The 20354-nt window shown below is 38.5% G+C and overlaps 1 protein-coding gene and 1 long non-coding RNA gene across 8 annotated transcripts in view, besides 2 other annotated features; one reads left to right on the forward strand and one right to left on the reverse strand.

The window, feature by feature from the left end:
- Positions 1-14567, forward strand: part of LOC105370500 (uncharacterized) — a 138447-nt gene extending 123880 nt beyond the window's left edge. The window contains exon 3 of the long non-coding RNA XR_943867.3: positions 12690-14567. This is a non-coding gene — a long non-coding RNA (uncharacterized LOC105370500). The remainder of the gene's footprint in view (positions 1-12689) is intronic.
- The window catches only part of FERMT2 (FERM domain containing kindlin 2), a 93778-nt gene that overhangs the window by 58395 nt on the left and 15029 nt on the right, over positions 1-20354 (reverse strand). For all 7 annotated transcript variants that reach the window (NM_006832.3, NM_001134999.2, XM_006720010.4 and 4 more), the window contains exon 3: positions 3456-3689. In NM_006832.3, the coding sequence (NP_006823.1) occupies positions 3456-3689 (234 nt within the window). The remainder of the gene's footprint in view (positions 1-3455; positions 3690-20354) is intronic.
- Positions 2952-3061: an enhancer, noted in NCBI's record as "active region_8398". NCBI's record gives its function as "activates an Ori minimal core promoter by ATAC-STARR-seq in GM12878 lymphoblastoid cells {active_cell/tissue: GM12878}" and the evidence as "EXISTENCE:reporter gene assay evidence [ECO:0000049][PMID:35858748]".
- Positions 10144-10438: a silencer, noted in NCBI's record as "tiled region #10339; HepG2 Repressive DNase matched - State 5:Enh, and K562 Repressive non-DNase unmatched - State 24:Quies". NCBI's record gives its function as "represses a minimal TATA promoter and a strong SV40 promoter by Sharpr-MPRA in HepG2 and K562 cells {active_cell/tissue: HepG2 | K562}" and the evidence as "EXISTENCE:reporter gene assay evidence [ECO:0000049][PMID:27701403]".

Here is a 20354-nt window from a genome sequence, read left to right on the forward strand (position 1 = left end):
TAGCAGAAAATATAGATGATACCTGTAATTCAAAATAGGAATAGCTTTTTTAAACAATACCCCACAAACACAAACCAATGTTAACTTCTACATGACCAAAAAAGACAAAAATAAAAAGTACATAAAATCAATCACGAACAAAGGTTTATAATAGACCAGGAGAAATTATCTGCAGCACATATTAGAATTTATAAAGAACTACAAATCAATGGTGAACGATAAAACAAAAGAAGAATGGACGAACAGACATATGTCCACTTGAAAGCCTGCATACAGATGTTTACAGCAGCTTTATTCAAAATGAAGCAACCAAGATATCGTTTGGTGAGTGGATAAACAAGCTGTGACACATCCAGACGATGGAATACTATTTAGCACTAAAAAGAAATGAGCTGGCTGGGCTTGGTGGTTCACACCTGTAATCCCAGCACTTTGGGAGGCGGAGGTGGGTGGATCGCCTGAGGTCAGGAGTTCGAGACCAGCCTGGCCAACATGATGAAACCCCATCTATACTAAAAATACAAAAATTAGCCCGGTTTGGTGGCAGGTGCCTGTAATCCCAGCTACTTGGGAGGCTGAGGCAGAAGAATTGCTTGAACCCGGGAAGTGGAGGTTGCAGTGAGCCAAAATCACGCCATTGCATTCCAGCCTGGGCAACAGAGCGAGACTCGTCTCAAAAAAAAAAGAAGAAGAAAAGAAAAAAAAAAGAAATAAGCTATCAAGCCACAAAAAAACATGGAGGAAACTTAAATGCCTATTACGAGGTGAAAGAAACCAATATGAAAAGGCTACATACTGTATGAGTCCAAACATATGATATTCTGGAAAGGGCAAAACTAGGTAAAAGGATGAGTGGTGGTGATGAGGAGAGAGGGATGAATAGGCAGAGCACAGAAGATTTTTAGGACAGTCAAACTATTCTGTACAATACCACAACAGTAGATACACGAGTATATATTTTTCCAAGCCCACAGCATGTACAACACCAGAAGTGAACCCTAACATAAACTACTGTCACTGAGTGATAATGGTATGTCAAGGTAGGTTCACCAGTTACAATAAATGTACCATTCTGGTACAGACTTTGAGAGTAGGGAAGGTTGTGCATGTGTGAGGACAGAGGGTATGTGGGAATTCTCTGTACTTTTGCTCAACTTTGCTGTGAACCTACAACTCCTGTAAAAACTACAGTTTATTAATTTCTCAAAAATGGACAAATGATATAAACAATTAAAAAAAGGAACTTAGATGTCCAATAATGATTTAAAAACATATTTAGCTTTGTAAACTAAAACAAAATACTGTCTTTTTCTCTTGGAAACAAAAACAACAAAACAGACCATAATCAAGTGTTAGTGAGGATTTGTGGCAACGGGTTTTCATACATTGCTAGTTGGAATATAAACTGGTATAACCAACTGGGAGACAATTTGACAGTACTCTGAAATGAATTATGTATATATTTAAAACAGCAATTTTACTTCTACTTCTAGGTGGATACTCGAGAGAAATTCTTGCACACACGTACAAAACTTAGTAAGAAAATACCTACGTGGTAATGGCAATAACATATACAGTTTATGGATATATACACACAGAGATACGTGTGTGTGTGTGTGTGTGTGTGTATGTGTGTGTCTGTGTATTTTACAGTACTGGATACACACTGAACTTATGATAGTAGTTGCTTTGTAAAGGGAAGTTAGGATAATGAGACTCAAGAATTTTACCAGTATTACTTTGACTTCAAGTCATATTTGTCATTTGACAAAATGACAAAATATCAACAATTATTAATTCCAGATAATGGGAATTTGGTATTCTTTGTATTTTTCTCTATTTTAATAATAATAATAAAAACCCTGTTTCACTTTAAAAAAAATTTCAAGGGCATTAGATCAAAAAGGCAATGTGAATCTACCTGTATCTCCCCTCCTACATCCCGAATCCCCTGAAATGACAGCAAAAGATATTTAAAAATTGTAGGCGGGGAGGGAAGATGAACATCCATAACAGTGCTAGGAGACAGGAAACTACAGTAAGAGGGTAAATAATGAGTGATTCTTGAAGACAGAAAAAAGTTGGTATTGGTTTAAGGGAAGCCACAGCCCAAACTAAACACAAGAAATGGGTGAGGATTCAGACTCCTCCAAGCTCCAAGCCTACAGGCATAAGCAGCAGGCAGGGCTCTGGGTTAAGAGGTAGGTAGTCTCAGCACCTCCATACTGTCCACAGGTCAGTGCTTGAGGCATTGTACAGGAGCAGCATTTGCCCACAGGCTCTAGCAGTGAGTGTGGGTGCTGACACCAGCAAGGAAGATTGGGTACTCTGGCGCTAGCCCAACTAAAATATTTTCAAATGTTTTCAGCAATATTTAAAACATTTGAAAATGTTGCAGCATTTGCTCTAAGAGTGAAGCAACCTAACTGATCATTAACAGGGAAATGTGGTTATAAATTATACTTGATCTTAGCCAAAAAGGCCAAGAAGTAATTGGATGTAAATTAATAGTACGTCTATACTCTGAATTACAGCTTAAAAGAATGTATAACACATAGAAAGATCTCTAAGACATTACTAAGTTTAAAAAATACATATAAAATGCTCCTATTTATTAAAAAAAATCCGATATGTATGGACAAATAAATGCATAGAAAATCACCAAACTGTCAAGAATGATTACTTAGGGGAAGGGGGAGCTTACTATGTATGTCTATATTCATTGATTCTTTTACAACAGAGTGTATTTATAAATTACTAGTATAATTTAAAAATTTAACATGAATAAAAAACTGCAGTACTTTATTTGGAATTAAAATATGAGAAGTCACTAAATGTATCTTTAACCAAGAATTTCTCAAATAGGAAAAAATACAGCAGAGTTCTGCACTAGTGGTAGTGACAGCAGTTCACATTTTCTCAGATGGTTGAATACTTCCTGTCATATGACATAACTGGGTCAGCCAAAGTAACCCACATCTCATTTCAGAATGCATAAATAGAAATACTACAGAGATGTTCAAATTGTAGACTGGTGAAGGAAGACAACACTCATAGTCATTTCCTTAGGAGCTGTGTCAGGCCTTCAATGGAGGAAGTGACACAATCTGCCTGAATCACTAAAATCAAATAGTGACTTATGTGAAGGAAACATTGCAAAGCCATGTATGTTCCCCTGAAAATAGTGCCTGTTCCTTTAACCTCTCCATAAAAATAAAGTATTAAATATCAGATACAATTCTAGTAAGGAAAGAATCTCTACTAGGTTCTTCCTGTTCCACCTTAACCCAGCATTTATCTTAATATAAAAACTTTAATGAAGTAGAAATTTCACACACATACATATATACAGATAGTTCAGCCCATGCCCCATCCCTTGGGATAAGCTATGTCAGTCATCGGTCATCTGTACATCACATAACTCGTATTTTAAGAAGAATTTATGTAATACTTACTAAAAGTCTTACAGATGTCAGAAACAGCTTTGAAGACTCTATCAGAGAAATTCACTTTCACCTTCACATACTTCATGTTGGGAAGCTGCAGGCGGAGCAGTTTGTGCTGAGGGGTGAACTGAAGCTTAGCATCTGCCTGAATACCATACTTATCTAAGGTCCAATGTGTCTTCAGAAGCCAAGTTCTCTTCTTTTCCCACCAGAGAGCATGGTCAGACCAATCTTTTTTTACATCTATAAAAAACAAACAATAAACAAATCACTTAAAAATCACCAAGGTGATTTTGAGAAATTAAAAGCAGAAAACTAGATAATTGGGTATTTAACAGCAATAATTAACTACTAAGTTACTGTTATGTGACAGGTACAAAAGAAACATTAACAGCTGAGAAAACACGCTCTGTCCTGAAAAGCCAGTACACAAGGCAGCTGAGGCAGAATATATAGGGCAACTAAGAATGTTTGAGTCAACTACAAAATGGGACACATGGATGACAGAGAAAGTACCCTCTTATTCTCAGAAAACAGAATCCTGAGGGCTAGAATAGGAAGGATTAATAAAGACAAGGAGTTGGTGGGCTTGGAACTCGTCCTATAGGAATGGACAATAACATTCTGATGAGAAACTGAACAGACTGTGGTTTATGAAGTTGCAGAAATGTGTGAAGGTGAATAATGGGTGGTGAAAAGATGGGGAACCAAAGTGAACAGAGACCAATATCCTAGGTGAAGAGGAGGAACAGGGAAAACACCCATGAGAAACACTATAACTTAAGAGAAAGCTCTAAAAATAAAAAAATAAAAAACTACATTCTGGCCACATGTGCTCTCCCAAATAGATCCCCGAAAATGGATCTAAAGTCACACTGCCCAACATTTTTCTCTGAGCACGTTTTGGTACAAGTATAACAGGAAACATTAATATCTGTTCAACTATTTAACAGCCTTATGCAACTAAATGAAACCAAATAAAGAAAAGAATGTAATTTACACAAGATTTAGCTACCCCCAGATAAGGCAGGTCGTAACAATAAACTTGTAGCAGTAAAATCCAACTTCAACTAGTTATTTATTTACTTATGACTAGGATAGGAAGTTGGTTTTTAAAGCTGCAATCAAAGTAAAGACTGCTGGGATCAACTGTATGTTAAACTTACTAAGTGCCAAAAAAAGGGAAAGTGATGTTTCAAAAAACAAAACAAAACAAAACACACACAAAAAGAACAGGCCCAGCGTGGTGGCTCATGCCTGTAATCCCAGAACTTTGGTAGGCTGAGGCTGGAGGATCGCTTGAGCCCATGAGTTCGAGACCAGGCAAGGCAACATGGTGAAGTCCCATCTCTATAATTTTTTTTTTTTTAATTAGCCAGGCATGGTGGCATGTGCCTGTAGTCCCAGCTACTCAGGATGCTGAGGTAGGAGGATCACTTGAGCCCATAAGGTCAAGGTTGCAGCGAGCTGTGATGTGAAACTACATTCCAGCCTGGGCAAGGGAGCGAGACTCTGTCTCAAGGAAAACAACTTCCAGGGGAAGGAAAAACATGTGAATGCTGGGCACAGTGGCTCACGCCTATAATCCCAAAACTTTGGGAGGCTGAGGCGGGCAGATCACTTGAGCCCAGGAATTCAAGACCAGCCTGGACAATGTGGTGAAACCCCATCTCTACAAAAAATTAGCTGGGCATGGTACATGTGCCTGTAGTCCCTGCTACTCAGGTGGCTGAGGTGGGAAGATGGACTGAACCTGGGAGGTAGATCAAGGTTGCAGTGAGCTGTGATTGCACCACCGTACTCCAGCCTGGGTGACAGAGCGAGATCCTACCTCAAGAAAAAAAAAAGTGAATAATTTTTTGCAAATAAAAATTAAAACTATCATGCTTCTGAGATAAAGCTCATTTTAATATAGTCGTACCTTTAAAAAGAGTTTATCAACTTTAAGACATTTAAAAGTATGTATTAATCTAGAAATTGAAACACACACACACATAACTAGTCTATCCCTAAATAAAAAATCAGATTTCCACATTGATTATATGGCTGAAACACCTTCTACAATGGTGAAATTTACTTGATACGACTGAAGTTCTCATTATGGAAGAAACATGCCACAGGTAGAAAAAGACTTTCAATTCTCCAGACATTAAAAACCTATTTTAATCAATAAGTATTTTAATGGGAGAATTACGGCTACAGCTACTTGTGATCGTATTACCATTTTGAAATTTCAACATCTGTGGTTTTGGCAAAGTCCTGCCAATCATGTTATTTGAAGTTTGGCAAAAGAATGCATGTAACTGCTATTTTATAACTACTTGCTTAACAGTGATACTTAATTGTATATAGTACCCTACACCCTACTTTCTAGCACAGAATTTGCCAACTAACTTTTGGAAACAGAAAATTCTGATCTACCTTATAGAAGACAACCAAGGTTAGATGACTGATCACATATTACTTTTCTTTCCAGGAACAGAAAACTAAGGGCAGAAAAAGATAACCTGCAAAGAATGCTGGTAATCAAGTAGAGTTACTGTTGAGCTGAACTGAATGATCGGTAGGTAGTATATATAGGCTGAGCCTCCCTAATGTGAAACTCTGAAATCCAAAATGCTCAGAAAACAGGGGAAAAAAAAAAGTTTTAGACTTTAGAACATTTCAGATTTCAGATTTTTGGATTACGAATGCTCAACCGGTTAAGTACAATACAAATATTTCAAAATTCAAGATCAGAAACACTCTGGTCTCAAGCTTTCAGATAAGGAATATTCAACCTGTAATACTTTCTTTCTCACATCTAGTGTCAATGTCACCCACTAAGGAAGCTCCATCATATACTCCCCGTGGGGAGGCAAGGAGAAAAAGAGCTGTAAGAGCACTATGAGTCCACCAGCACATGTCACTTGGGTTCCTCCAGAAGGCATCCCTGACCTAAGAACTTGGGTGCAAGCAGCTTATTTGTGGGAAGGAAATCCCAGGAAGCACACTTGAGGGGATCAGTGAAAGTGAGATGGGGAGAAAAGCCAACTGGAGGTTCCTCACTGCTGTGAGCACCTGCAGTTCAGTCCTTCAGGGCATGCCTCAGAACTCTCCCACAGAGGAGAAAGATGAGGTATCTCTCCACTTCCTTGTTAAGGGTTACTCCTGGGGCCATTACATTAAAAACTCTTAACACTTCTTGGCTGCCAGCATGGGGCTGGCTGCCCTGCACTCAGGCAGAGCAAGCTCAGAGATCCCTGCACCTAAGGAAAAGAGCTTGTCAGCATGTTGGGGATCTGCCCACCAGGAGTGCAGGTGAACTACAGTGAAAGAGGGGGGCCTCCATAGCACCTGTTACAGCCTGAAAGGAATGTTTATTAAATTAAAAAAAAAAAACAGCTGTTTTATTGTAGAAGCAGGGCGCTGCAAAGACATAATAAAAGACAGGCTCAAACAATGTGGCCCAGGAGTAGGTGCTAAAACATAGAGGGCAAAGACACTAACGTGATAAGGAGCTTTTGGGTACAAAATTTACATATGGACACTAATAAAGAGGTAATGTGCCACCAACCACAAAATCTAAAGAATTTTTATAATGTGAGGTATGAAAAGGACTACTGGTCAAGAACTCGACTTTCCAAGTCAAAACTACATAAATGTGAAGCTGGAGGTTAGCAAACTATGAATGGCCCAAGGACCAAATCCTGCCTTCTGCCTTTTTATGGCTCACTAGCTAAGAACAGTTTTTGTACAGTCATGAGTCACTTAACAAGGGGGATAAGATCTGAGAAATGCGATGTTTGGCAAGTTCACTGTTGTGTGAACATCAACGAGCGTATTCACAAACCTAGACAGTATAGCCTACTACACACCTAGGTTATATGGTATGGCCTCTTGATTCTAGGATACAAACCTGTACATATGTTACTGTACTGAATGCTGTAGGCAACTGCAACACAGTGATAAATATTTGTGTAGCTAAGCATAGAAAAGGTATAGTAAAATTAAGGTATTATTAATCTTATGGGACCACGGTTGTATAGTCTGCTGTAGTTGACTGAAACACTGTTACATGGCTCCTGACTGTATTTTTAACTGGTGGGGGTTGGGGGGGGAATCCAAAGAACAGTATTTTACATAATTTTATATAAAGTTCAAATTTCAATGCCCATAAACAGTTTTATGAAACACAGCCACACTACTCTGTTCACACATTGTCTATGTCTACTTCTGCACCACAACATTAGACACAGACTGCATGGCGGCCCACAAAGCCCAAAAGCCCAAAATACCTACTATCCATACTTAAGAAAAAAGAAAGAAAAGAAAAGAAAACTTTGCAGGCCCCTGTTGTAAGCAGTGTTATCTTGCACTTAGATAATGGTACAATAAAATCTCAATTTTCCATCAATTAGGCTTCCAACTGTGACCTCAGAAACATATATCTCCCCTGATACTCATCCTTCCCTTTAAAACCTGTCCCTCCCCCATGAATTCCACCTCAGTTTCTCATCAAAGGAGCTATCAACCTGCACCCACCAAGAGAAGGGGATAGGATCCAAAGATTACATACTGGACATCCTATGAGTGGTCCGTTTACCCACAGAAAAAAAATAAGCTCTCTTACTGACTGGCAACGCTGGTAAAACTAGTCTTTTTTACCCAGAGAAACTAGTGGATGAGTAACAATATAGAAAAAAAATTACACAAAATAAAAGCAGAAATAGGAGACCAGAAAAAAATCAGAAGTGTCAATACCACTCATGGCAAAAGATAAAAACAGAAAAGTAGGTGTTCTGACAGCGAAGTAGAAGACAGTGTTAGAAGATGGGTAAGCTGGACTGTGGGGGCTTGTGACTTATGTTCAAATACTGGGCTTTTCAGTAGCATTCCTGAAGACTCAACACACTACCAACCTAGTCAGCACTACTTGCAGAGTAATCACTACCACAGAATAAGAACATCAGACGTGCTGAATTCGTGAATTCAACAAATACCTGTTGAACATGTACTGTGTGCAAGAAGGCACTGTTCTAGTGCTAGAGATATGATGATGAACAAAACAAAGTTCCAGCACCATTGAGGGAGACCAAGGTGGCTAGAGGAGAGGAAATGGAGATCAGCAGGAGGTGGCATCAGAGAGCCAGGCAGGAGCCTTGTAGGTCACAGTGCATGGTTTAGGTGTTACTATGTATGAGATAAGGCCCTAGAGCAGTAGTTTTCTGCCTGATTGGCATTAGAATCATCTGAGCAGCTTTTAAAAAATACTGATGCCTGGCCCCACCCTAAACTAGGGCTATTTTGGTTTGTGAACAGCTGTCTGTATTTTTTTTATGGGCAGATACTCCACCACCTTGGTGACATCTCTCAAACCAAATATATCAGAATCTCTGTGGGTCTAGGAAATGGTTTTAAGCAGTAGTCACTTGTTTCAAAATCATTACTGATAATTTTGAAGAAGTGTGGTGATGGGGGTATGCAAGAGTTCACTCTTGCAAGAGAGTGTGCAAGAAGTTAATGTGAGAGTGGAAATGACAACCATTTCAGTTATAATGGTTGGGAGGTGAGGAAGTACAAATAAGAAATACAGAAAACTTTTCCTGGATATTTTACTGCAGCAAGGAGAATAATAGCGATCAATAGATAGAATAATAGCTGGTAAATACACAGAATAATAGCTGGTAGATAGAAAGGAAATGGCAGACCCAAGGAGTATTTTTAGCTTCATTTTTAAAAAGGGAAAGCTATTACAGCATTATTTTAAAAGTGGCTGAAATGATTTCGTATTTCAGATCATTTATAATTATTTATAATTATCATTCACTAATTTGCCCTTCAGCAGAGTATCACTTCAAAACTTCCTAAAGACCCGACTGAGCCCCCTCAAACAGGCAAAGCAATGTTTTCCCAACTTCCAGAAAATTAGCTCTTTCTTTGGTGCTGGCTTTATATCACACTACCTATCTTATTTTGAAACTAACAGTATCTCCATATCAAGTCACACAATTGGCTCTGCTCAGACTATCACAAGAACATACCTATTCTATTCATTAGTAGCAAAAACAAATTGTATACACTGATGAAAATCCTGAGAAAAATGATGGTACACCAACTGAGAAGCATTTGCCCAGGCAAGCATAAAAACTAACTGCACATCAAAAAGTACTTAAAGGCCAGGAGCGGTGGCTCACACCTGTAATCCCAGTATGTTGGGAGGCCAAGGTGGGCAAATCACTTGAGGTCAGAAGTTGGAGTTTGAGACCAGCCTGGCCAATATGGTGAAACCCCATCTCTACTAAAAATACAAAAATTAGCTGGGCCTGTTGGTGCACACCTGCAATCCCAGCTACTTGGGAAGGCTGAGGCAGGAGAATGGCTTGCACCCAGGAGGCAGAGGTTGCAGTGAACCAAGACTGTGCCATTGCACTCCAGCCTGGGCAACACAGCAAGACTCTGTCTCAAAAAAAAAAAAAAAAAAAAGCACTTAACTGCACAAATTGTGTATATAGGTGTGTGTGTGAGGTAGTTTATCTCGATGCAGCAACTCTTTTTTCGTTTGAGATGGAGTCTTGCTCTGTTGCCCAGGCTGGAGAGCAGTGATGTGATCTCAACTCATTGCAACCTCCACTTCCCGGGTTCAAGTGATTCTCCTGCCTCAGCCTCTGGAGTAGCTGGGACTACAGACAGGCACCACCACACCCAGTCCAGCTAATTTTTGTATTTTTAGTAGAGGCTGGGTTTCACTCTGTTGGCCAGGCTGGTCTTGAATTCCTGACCTCAAGTGATCCAACCCCCTTGGCCTCCCAAAGTGCTGGGATTACAGGCATGAGCCACCGCGCCCGGCACAGATGCGGTAACTCTTGAAAGCACTTAGTTATCTAGTGTATTACAGCACAGCTTGTCTCTAAAGTGGCAAGTTAAATCATAACAGACTATGCAACTGTAACTTGAAAAACCCACTATGTGCAGAACAGATTTCAGACATCCACACATTGAAGCTTTCCTCTAGCTAAAGACTGAGTAGAAGCATGAACACATTATGATGACTTTAAAATACTTACGAATAATGGCAAGCAAATGAAAATACTACTGTATCACTAAAGTAGTGGTTTAGTTTTCCATGTGGCATCAAAATCCATAATGAAATAACTGTTGATATTCCCTGAATTTGCATAAACTAAAGCTTTGGAAAACTTTCCATACAGGAACTCCCTTACATGTTCTAATCTAGACTCTGGACTATGTTCTAAATAAACATTTCTGATTTCCAGAATGGCAGGCTTGGTATTTCAAACATTAGATGACCAAGTGCAACACACACACACACACACACACACACACACACACACACACACACTCAGCCTGGCACTTGGCCAGAAGTTAGCAAACATCACCGGAGTAGATTCATTCATCTGCATTATAAAACCATTCAAGGCATAGACTACGCTCAAAAACTTGCTCTGAGAGTCCATTTCTCCAAGGTCATGATTTTCAGTTATCCTCCAGGTACAGGCCAACTTTTATTCAGTATATCTTATATTTTAAATTTTGATGTTAAACTTTCAGAAGTAACCCATCACAAATACAAGCTTTCTCAAAAAGGCTCGGGGGTGGGGCGTGGGGGGTAAAAAGCTGTACTATTATGAAGCCATCACTTGTTTTCCTTCTCTGGGGAAGAAAAGGGATTTTATGATTTACTTATAAATTTGGCTTGTTTAGTAATTCTTTTAAGACAAGAACTACTTATAGTTTACTATACCTAGCAAAATTCTAACTTCTATAATAAATTTTAGTAAAATATCTTAATTCTTCAAAACATTTTGCCAGCATTCTGGAAAGAATTATTTCTGTGTCCCTCCTCCCTTATTTAACAGATCCCATCACACCGTATCACGTGCACATAACAGTATCTGACAGACACTCAAACTCCTATCATTAACATTGCAAATTGCTACAACATTGACTGAATCAACAAAAATATCCTCCCTCAACTGTAACAGAATGCTCCTCAAATTCAGAAAGTGGTCGTACACTTGCTTTACAAATAAACATCTGTGTATTCTAAGGAACAGAAGGCTTGGGTTTCTCATCATTAGAGGCTGAGTAAATATTGCTTAGTCTACCAAACAGCTTTTGGTATCACAGTGCTCTCCCACTCCATGAGTCACCAAAAAGAAAAAAAAGAAAAAAATACATATTTCAAAGCTTTTTGCTAGAGAAAATATTATGCCCCACTTTATGCAATTCCAGCTTGCTTACACTTAGAAAATATGAGCACAGAGAAGGGAGACATTATTGAAAACATCCTATTTAATGTTTTCCTAATAAGATTACCAATTCCTACTTGACTGTTTGGATACAGGCTACTAAGACGCAATTATTGGCCAGGCTCACGTCTGTAATCCCAACACTTTGGGAGGTTTGAGGTGGGTGGGTGGCTTGAGCCGAAGCGTTCAAGGCCAGCCTGGGCAACATAGCAAAACCTCATCCCTATAAAAAAAAAAAAAAAAAAAAAAAAAAAAAAATCCAGGCATGGTGGCCTGTGCCTGTGGTCCTAGCTACCTGGAGGCTGAGGTGGGAGGACCCCTTGACTCTGGGTGGTCAAGGTTGCATAGAAAGTTGATCAAATCCCACTCCTGTTGTTTCTGCACGAGAGCTGGAGCCTATGCCTTACCACACATCCATGGATATGCCCCAGATTTGACTTGGGCCTTCAAACTTTGCACAGTGGCTGCTACTAACTTTTTGAGATAATATTCAGATTCCTGGAGACTCAGTTCTGCCTCATCTAAACCACCAGAGACCAAACAAAGACCAGCCCAATACCTCTTGGACTTTATTTAATGCCATAATGTTGTCAGACTAAAGAGAAAAATGAAGTAATTCTTTTTTAAAAAAAGAAAGTTGATCAAATAACTTACTTTTTCTTACCTTAAGTAACCACATCTTAAAAATAAGTAAGCAACTTAGAGTTTGGAATGAAGAGGAGGTTAAAATATTACTTTTAGGGAGGATAAATTTCTAGTTGCATATTTTTAAAGTACTAATTCAGGAAAGAAATGCAAAATTTGTTTAGTATTCTCACACGTCCATAAACTAGAAGCAAAGTTTACATTAGATAATCTTTGCTAAGGCAACATGTCATTGTGACTTATAAGCACAGATAACTTTTCTGGGCACGTGACTTATTTCTGATAAATATATACTTTTGTACTCTGCTAATATTGTAATTCTCTGTACCATTTACTTTTGTTTTAGGATCCTCTTGAGCCCCAAATGAGATATAACTATTACCATAATCAAGAGTTGACTGGAGGTAAAGAACACTACAATCCCAGTGTTCTAGTGACAAAGCCACTAAAGAAGCTGGTTCTGACCTACTGTAAGCAAGCCATGCAGACTCAGCAGACCAGAAAACGTCTTTCTCCTGCTTTTCAGGCTACTTGCTCATACCATTTACCTATACCACTTAGTTGCTCATCTATTAAACTTAGAGGACTTTTCCCTCTTTCATTTCATAGCCAGGCAGACTGCCCAAGACACCCTTGGGGAAACCTACTATTTTTTTCTGTCTACCACGGTGTTTCGAACTTCTCACACTTCTGAGAATCCTCCTCCTTCTCAGTAGACAACCATGGATTCTACTGCAGAAAACACAGAAGCCATCAGATTCAAACTCTTTCACCTTCACGCCAACCCATCTATAAGCCTTCTTAAATTTGTACCCAGATGGGCCTCCTGTCTTTGTGTTAACATGAAAAAGTGTCTCTTCCTGTCTATCTAAAGCCAATCCCACCTCCTACGCTCTGCTGCCCTTCCCATCTTCTAGGAACCGTGTGCTTCTTTCCTTACATTGGCTCTCCAGGTGTCTCATCCATTCTCATAGCTTTAAAAGACACTTATTTTCGTCACTGGTGTCAGCAGCCCAACCTTCTACTCAGACGCCAGCCTATACACCCTACTGCCTATCTCACATCTCTTCTTGATGTCCCACAGATAACTCAATTTATCTAAAATGTAACCCAATTTTTTTTCTTATCCCTACTCTTATTATACTAACTAGCACCAACCGTCAACCCAGTTGCTCAAGCTAGGAATCTGAAAGTCATTGATTTTCGCTTTCCCTCATTCCTTACATTTATCAGCAAACTGTCAAATCCACTTCCAAAAATCTCCACTCCAGTCTCCACTGGCACCACCCTATTTCAAGCTGCCATCATCTCTTGCACTGACTACTGCCACAGCCTCCTAACTGGTCTCCTTCATTCCATTCAGCACTTTGCATACAACAGCCAGAGTCATCTTTTCAGCGCTTTCATGCCATTCCCCTGCTGAAAATCCTTTGCAACTGCTTCTAACTGCACTTAAATAAAATCCAAATGCCGTATCAGGTCTACAAAGCCCCACACAATACAGCCTATCTACTCCTCCAAATTTATCCTGTGCTACTCTTCCTTTGCTCCAGCCACACTGGCCTTTTTTAGTTCTAAGAATCATATAACTAAGCTCTTTCCTGCCGCAGTGCCCTTGTACATGCTACTCCACTCCTGGAATGTCTAACTCTCTCTCATCTTTCAGGTTTTAGCATTAATTCCATATTCTCAGAGAAGCCTTTTTTAGCTACCCTAGCCCTCCAATGTCCTATGTCCCCCCATACTGTTGTATTTCAGTATCCTGTGATATCACTGATCAAAATTTATATTCATTTTGTTTGTTGTTGGTGGGTGGGGGAGGAGGGTGCTATCTTTCTTTCCTAATAGATTATAAACTGTCTAAGAAGACAAAGGCAATGTCTATTTTGATCACCATTGTATTTTCAGCACCTAGCACAGTGCTGGGCAGGCAAGAAATATTTAACAAATGAATTAATCCTCCTTTTGAAAATTTTAAAGATCTCTCATTACTCAAAACAATCTCAACAAGAAACTTATTTTTAAACCATCAATAAAAGCAAATACAAGTTTTACTAATTTATAATTAGTAAAATTATAATTTACTAATACAAGTTGTATGTCTGAAGAATCCATTTTATCTTCAACTTCAGAATTAAAATATACTTCAATACTAACTAGAAGAGTGGCAGAGATTCCCCTAGAAAAAGGAAATAAAACTGAACAGACATCCTGTTCTCTCTCACATCTTCTAAAAAGAATGAATTTCTTTGCTCAAGACAATCTCTATTGTGCAAAGTGTTTATGTTCTAAAAGTCCACTTGTAAGTCTGAGAATTCAGATTCATCACAGAAAAACACTACATAGTTAGGTTCCAAATCATACAATAAATTACCCAACCAAAAATAACCTGACCTATATGACTAGCAACACTCTACCTTACCAACTGTATCATAAAGCCTTTTGCAGAATGTTTCAACTTGAGAAGTAAGAAAAACTGCAAGCAATGGCACCTGCAGAGAGTGAGTTGGATGGGGTAAGAAAGGGAATGCTGCTGCCAAGTTGTGAGGGAGACAATGGCTTCCTGAGGAATATCAAATTGTAGGGCACCTGGCTACTCCCTAGTCATCTTTCCCAGAATACCAAGAATTAACCTATTTCCAGTTTCCCAGATACAATTTGTTGTTGTCTTAGGCCTGGGTTTCTTTTCTTTACTAAACGATGACAATAGAAGAGTTTTTAACTTGCTTTCCTTTCCAATGCCTGAAACTCTTCTGATGTTTCTACTGAGACTCTATTGCCAATAATGTGTAAAGACAGGGCCTACAAGTAAAATTAATGCTTAAGTTTGTAAAAACGATGTTTATAATATTATCCTTAATATTGATTGAAATGTAAAGGACACTAGACATTAATCTCAATATTCAATCATACATTGTCTTTACTCTTGACCCCTTTAGGTCTTTCTCCTCCCAAACTTCTCTTTCGATTTTAGAGTTGGGGATCATGGGGCATCCTGCTTTTAGGATGTGCCCTCCTGTTCTGATCTCTTTAGTCACTCAGACCTTTAAAAAGCGAAAGAGGAGGCAAACAGATGAAGAGTGTGGCTCTTCAGGTGTATAATCAATGCACTAATTAATAAATACTTTCCAAGTAACTATCATATGCCAGGCACTAAGTTGGGCAATGGAATATAAAAATTAATAAGAATTACCATCCCAGTGGCACTTACAGTCCAAGTGAGAGACACAGACAAGTAAAATGAGCTAAAAATATAAAAGAACAAAATGTCACAGAGGCAACCAACATTAAACGTGAAAGATTAATTAGGTTAACATGGCATTTTTACCTGGGTCTTAAAAGATGTGGGAGTTCAAATGTGCTAAGAGAAACCATCCTGTAGACAATGGAGGCTCTCAGATTGTTTTATTAACATAATTTTGATTTGATTATGAAGCACAAATTAGAGTCTGGCAGAAAATTTACCACAACATTCTAGAGAGCAGGGCCTGACATAAGGCAGAAGGTGAAGAGAAGGAGGCAAATATGAGGGAGTTGTCTAAGCTAGAATCATGGGTCTCAAGGACACTGATTTCAGATGAGAGAGGACAGCTGGAAGGTGAAGAGGGGAAGCTAGAAAGTTCCTAGCTTGATAATTAAATAGATGATAATAGCACTAAGATTTGTTTACTGAACATTTAGTATGTACCAAGCACTTAACACATTCTCATTTAATTCCAACAAAAAATGTTAAAAGGGGCGGGCGCGGTGGCTCACGCCTGTAATCCCAGCAACTCCGGGAGGATGAAACAGGCGGATCACCAGGTCAGGAGATAGAGACCATTCTGGCTAACATGGTGAAACCCTGTCTCTACTAAAAATACAAAAAATTAGCTGGGTGTGGTAGCACACGCCTGTAGTCCCAGCTACTCGGGGGGCTAAGGCAGGAGAATCACCTGAACCTGGGAGGCAGAGGTTGCAGTGAGCCCAGATCGTGCCACTGCACTCCAGCCTAGGCGACAGAGCGAGACTCCGTCTCAAAAAAGAAAAAGAAAAAAATGTTAAAAGGTAAATACTATTATAATCTCTTTGTTTTATAGATGAGAAAACGGGGGGTGGAGCCAAAGGACAGAGAAGTTACATAACTTGGCTAAAGTTCATAAAGTTAGCATATGTAGGAATTAGGATTTGACTCTAGATGAGTGTGATTTCAGAGGTGGCACTCTTAAATTACATGCCATTAGCCAAGATAAAGTTACGCAGAAGAGAAGCAAGTCTGGGTATGTTGAATATGAGGCCAAAAGACTAATGTTAGGACTCATTTACATTTCACAGTAAAATCCTGATGATTATCCTGCACATCTCTTAAGGAAATAGGTATTTAGGAGAAAGAAGATAGAACATCCACAAGGAGGCAAAGAGATTATTAAATAAAGGAATATTTTTATTATGCATGTCTTTCTCTGATTTAATAATGGCAACCACAGACAAACTCAAAGAGGTTATGGTTAGCAGCCATATAACTACTTGAAGAATGCATATACTAATATGCAAAATTAAACAGACTTTGAAACAACCAAAGAACACAAATGGCTATGAATGCAAAGAAGCAATTAAGAAAAATAATAACAATAATGTACTCACTTTTGGTTTTATACTAGAAATTAAGACTTCTACTGTCCAAAAATAATTGGAATAACTTCTGAGTCATTCCTCTCTTCCTTAAGACTGTTCATTGGTAATTAGATTATTCTAGAAAGACCAGAAGTGAATTCCTAAATTACTCTTAATCTATTTCTAGAGGGACAACCCTCCCTTCTAGAACTACTCTGTATTCTAGAGGAAAAGAATTCTCAACAGTGCAATCTACAACACTATCATCCAGGACCTAACTGAAGTTTTTATAATATGAGTTTCCACAACCATGAAAAACAGGAAAAGAATACCCAACATATACTTTTGAACTCTGCTGAATCTTATTCTCTCATATAGCGTTATTATTAATCAACAAAATGTAAAACAACAAAGAAATGAACAAAAAAAAACACTGGCGATGAAGCATACAAATATTTCCTCCCTATACTTCTGCCCCCACCCCATCCAGCAAAGTAAGGAAAGGCCTACACCAAGATCACAGAACAGTCATTATAGTAATCTAATCCTTATATCTTTGAAATTAGATAATATGTATCTCTACAAGTTATATTTTACTTTTTCCTCTCCCTCAGCTTTTCTTTCCATCCAAGTATTACGGAGTCTATCCCTTAAGCAGCTGTTAATTTGTTCCTTCCTTTCCTTTTACATTGCCTTAGTTCAGGTCCCCAACATCTCTACCCTGAATTACTATAACACCATTTTTTACAACACTATCCAGAGTTGTCTCTTAAAATGCAAACTTGATCAGTTTATTTGTCCACTTAAAAACTTTCCAAGTCTGGGCCAGGCACGGTGGCTCACGCTTGTAATCCCAGCACTTTGGGAGGCTGAGGTGGGGGGGAATCACCTAAGGTCGGGAGTTCGAGACCAGCCTGACCAACATGGAGAAACCTCGTCTCTACTAAAAATACAAAATTAGCCGGGCATGGTGGCACATGCCTGTAATCCCAGCTACTTGGGAGGCTGAAGCAGGAGAATTGCTTGAACACTGGAGGTGGAGGTTGTGGTGAGCCGAGATCACGCCATTGCACTCCAGCCTGGGCAACAAGAGCAAAACTCCGTCTCAAAAAAAAAAAAAAAAAAAAAAAAAAAGGGAAAAGAAAAAAACCCCAAAACTTTCCGAGTCTGTTACTGAAGTATCTTATAATCCGTTAACAGGTTCCACAAATCTGTGCCCCACATTGCCTTTTTCTAGTAGCTCTTACCACACCCAGATGCAGCTTTTGTTCTGGCCTAGTTTGTGGAACAAGCTGGTGTTTCAGATCTCCTTGATAGGCACCTTTTCCTTTCCCCCTTTATCAAACTGGCAAAATCATGCACCAGTACCAGCTCAAATATTACCACCTCTGAATCTTCACTGACCCACCTGTCAAAGCAGCAAAGTATACCTTAGCACTTTGAATGATATAATTCATTTATGTAACTAATTTCCCCACTAGATTAAGTCTTTATCCTGTGTCTCAAAAGCAGAGACCAGAACTAATAAATATTTATAAACTACTACTTGTAATATACAAATATTTGTAATATACAGGCAGCATGTAAAGCAATCTTAATAATCAATTGAAAAATTATAATTATTCCAAGATAAAAGTTCATGTTAAAAACATTAAAAACTCTTACTGTTGATTATAAATGTACATATGGAAATGGAAAAAATAGCAAAACTAGTGTTTATTTAGTGTACTGTAATTAAAACATTAAAAACATTGAGAAGTGTTACTTTTCTTTGTGAAAACTTAACAAGAATAGCTTAAATAGTGCTTGTCTTCTAATCATATAATTTATGATGTGGAGCAAGTATCTTTTATGCCTTGGCAAGCTGTCACACTCCTTCCTAAGTCTGGATCAACTTAAAACATTTTGTCCTTTGCTCTTTCAGTATCATGAAATATCTCTGACAGCTCCTTCAGTATGCAAAGTTTTTGCTAGTGTCACTTCCTCTGGGACATCTTCATCCTTTTTGTCATACCACTTGTATCATGTATGTAAGTTTACCTTCACTAAATTCCTTTGGCTGTATATCTATAGTCTTTCAAATGGTGAAAGCATCCACATTTCCATGGTGAGCTATTTCTTCTTTAACTCCATTTATATTTGATTCAACTATCACTTCTAGTATTTCATGAACACTTTTTGTTAATTCATTGCAGTTTTATCTCTGTTGGTCAACTCTTTCAATTATCCATTTTTTTAAAACATCATGAGTTTCTCATGGGGGACAGAGAGGCAACACTAACACTTCTGTGTGTGAACTGTATGCACAGTGGCCAATCACAGATAGACTTTGAAATAAGTGACATGACTTGTCACTGACTGTGATGAGCTTCTGTTATTTACATAGTGCTTTGTGGACTGAAGAGTTAGCCAGCAAGTTTTGTACTTTATGCAGTTACATCTTAGTTAATGTATAAAGTTAAAAGATAAAGTATGGTGGCAACTAAAATGTGAGCCATGTTGTTAGACAATTAGTGTTATTTAATAAGTAAACGTGCAAATTGCAACGTCCAAAGTGCTGTTTTCAAAAATGTCTGATGTCATATTAAAAAAAAAGTTTTTAATCTGCTAGCAGAAGCTGTAAACTTCAAAGTTTACATATCATTCAAACTGCAAACATATTTCAATTAAGGTACCCCATTCCATTTTAGGTTAAGGAAATTATTTTACATTAAGGCTCCAATGGCTAACTGAGGCAGTGTCAAATTATGGGAAACTGCTATGGACTAAATGTTTGTGTCCCCCCAAATTCATATGTTGAAATCCTAATCCCCAATATGATGGTATCTGAAGATGGGGCCTTGGGGAGGTAAATCAAGTCATGGAGGTGGAGTGCTTCTGGTGGAACTGGTATCCTTAGAAGAAGAGACAGAAGACAGCTGGTTTCCTATCTCTCCTTCTTTCCCTCCTCCATGTGAGGAAACCAGGAATAGGGTCCTCACTGGAAACCAACCATGCTGACATCCTGATCTTAGATCTGGCAGCCTCCAGAACTGTGAGAAATAAGTGCTTACTGTTTAAGCCACCCAGGATATGTTATTTGTTATGGCAGCCCAAGCAGACTAAGACAGAAACTAAACCTCTAACGAAAAGTGACAAATTGCAATTTCTTCTACATAGCTAGTTGAAAACTGGGGAATTCACTCTTCAAAATAAAGAGATCAACTAAGTTTACAAATAGCCTTTTGAAGTTACGAATCTGAGATAATGTCTATCAATTTCAATCTATTATCCGATACTATAAGACATACTAACTCAAAGCAGTTAAGAAGTTTTTTTCAGATCACATAAGCCATGCAAGCAGTTACAGAATGCATAAACAGAAAGTATGCCAATTATTAATTTCCAGAGGGTGGGTAACTTTCTATCCAATCCTGAA

Source organism: Homo sapiens, chromosome 14 (assembly GCF_000001405.40).
Source record: "Homo sapiens chromosome 14, GRCh38.p14 Primary Assembly".
Classification (NCBI taxonomy): domain Eukaryota; kingdom Metazoa; phylum Chordata; class Mammalia; order Primates; family Hominidae; genus Homo; species Homo sapiens.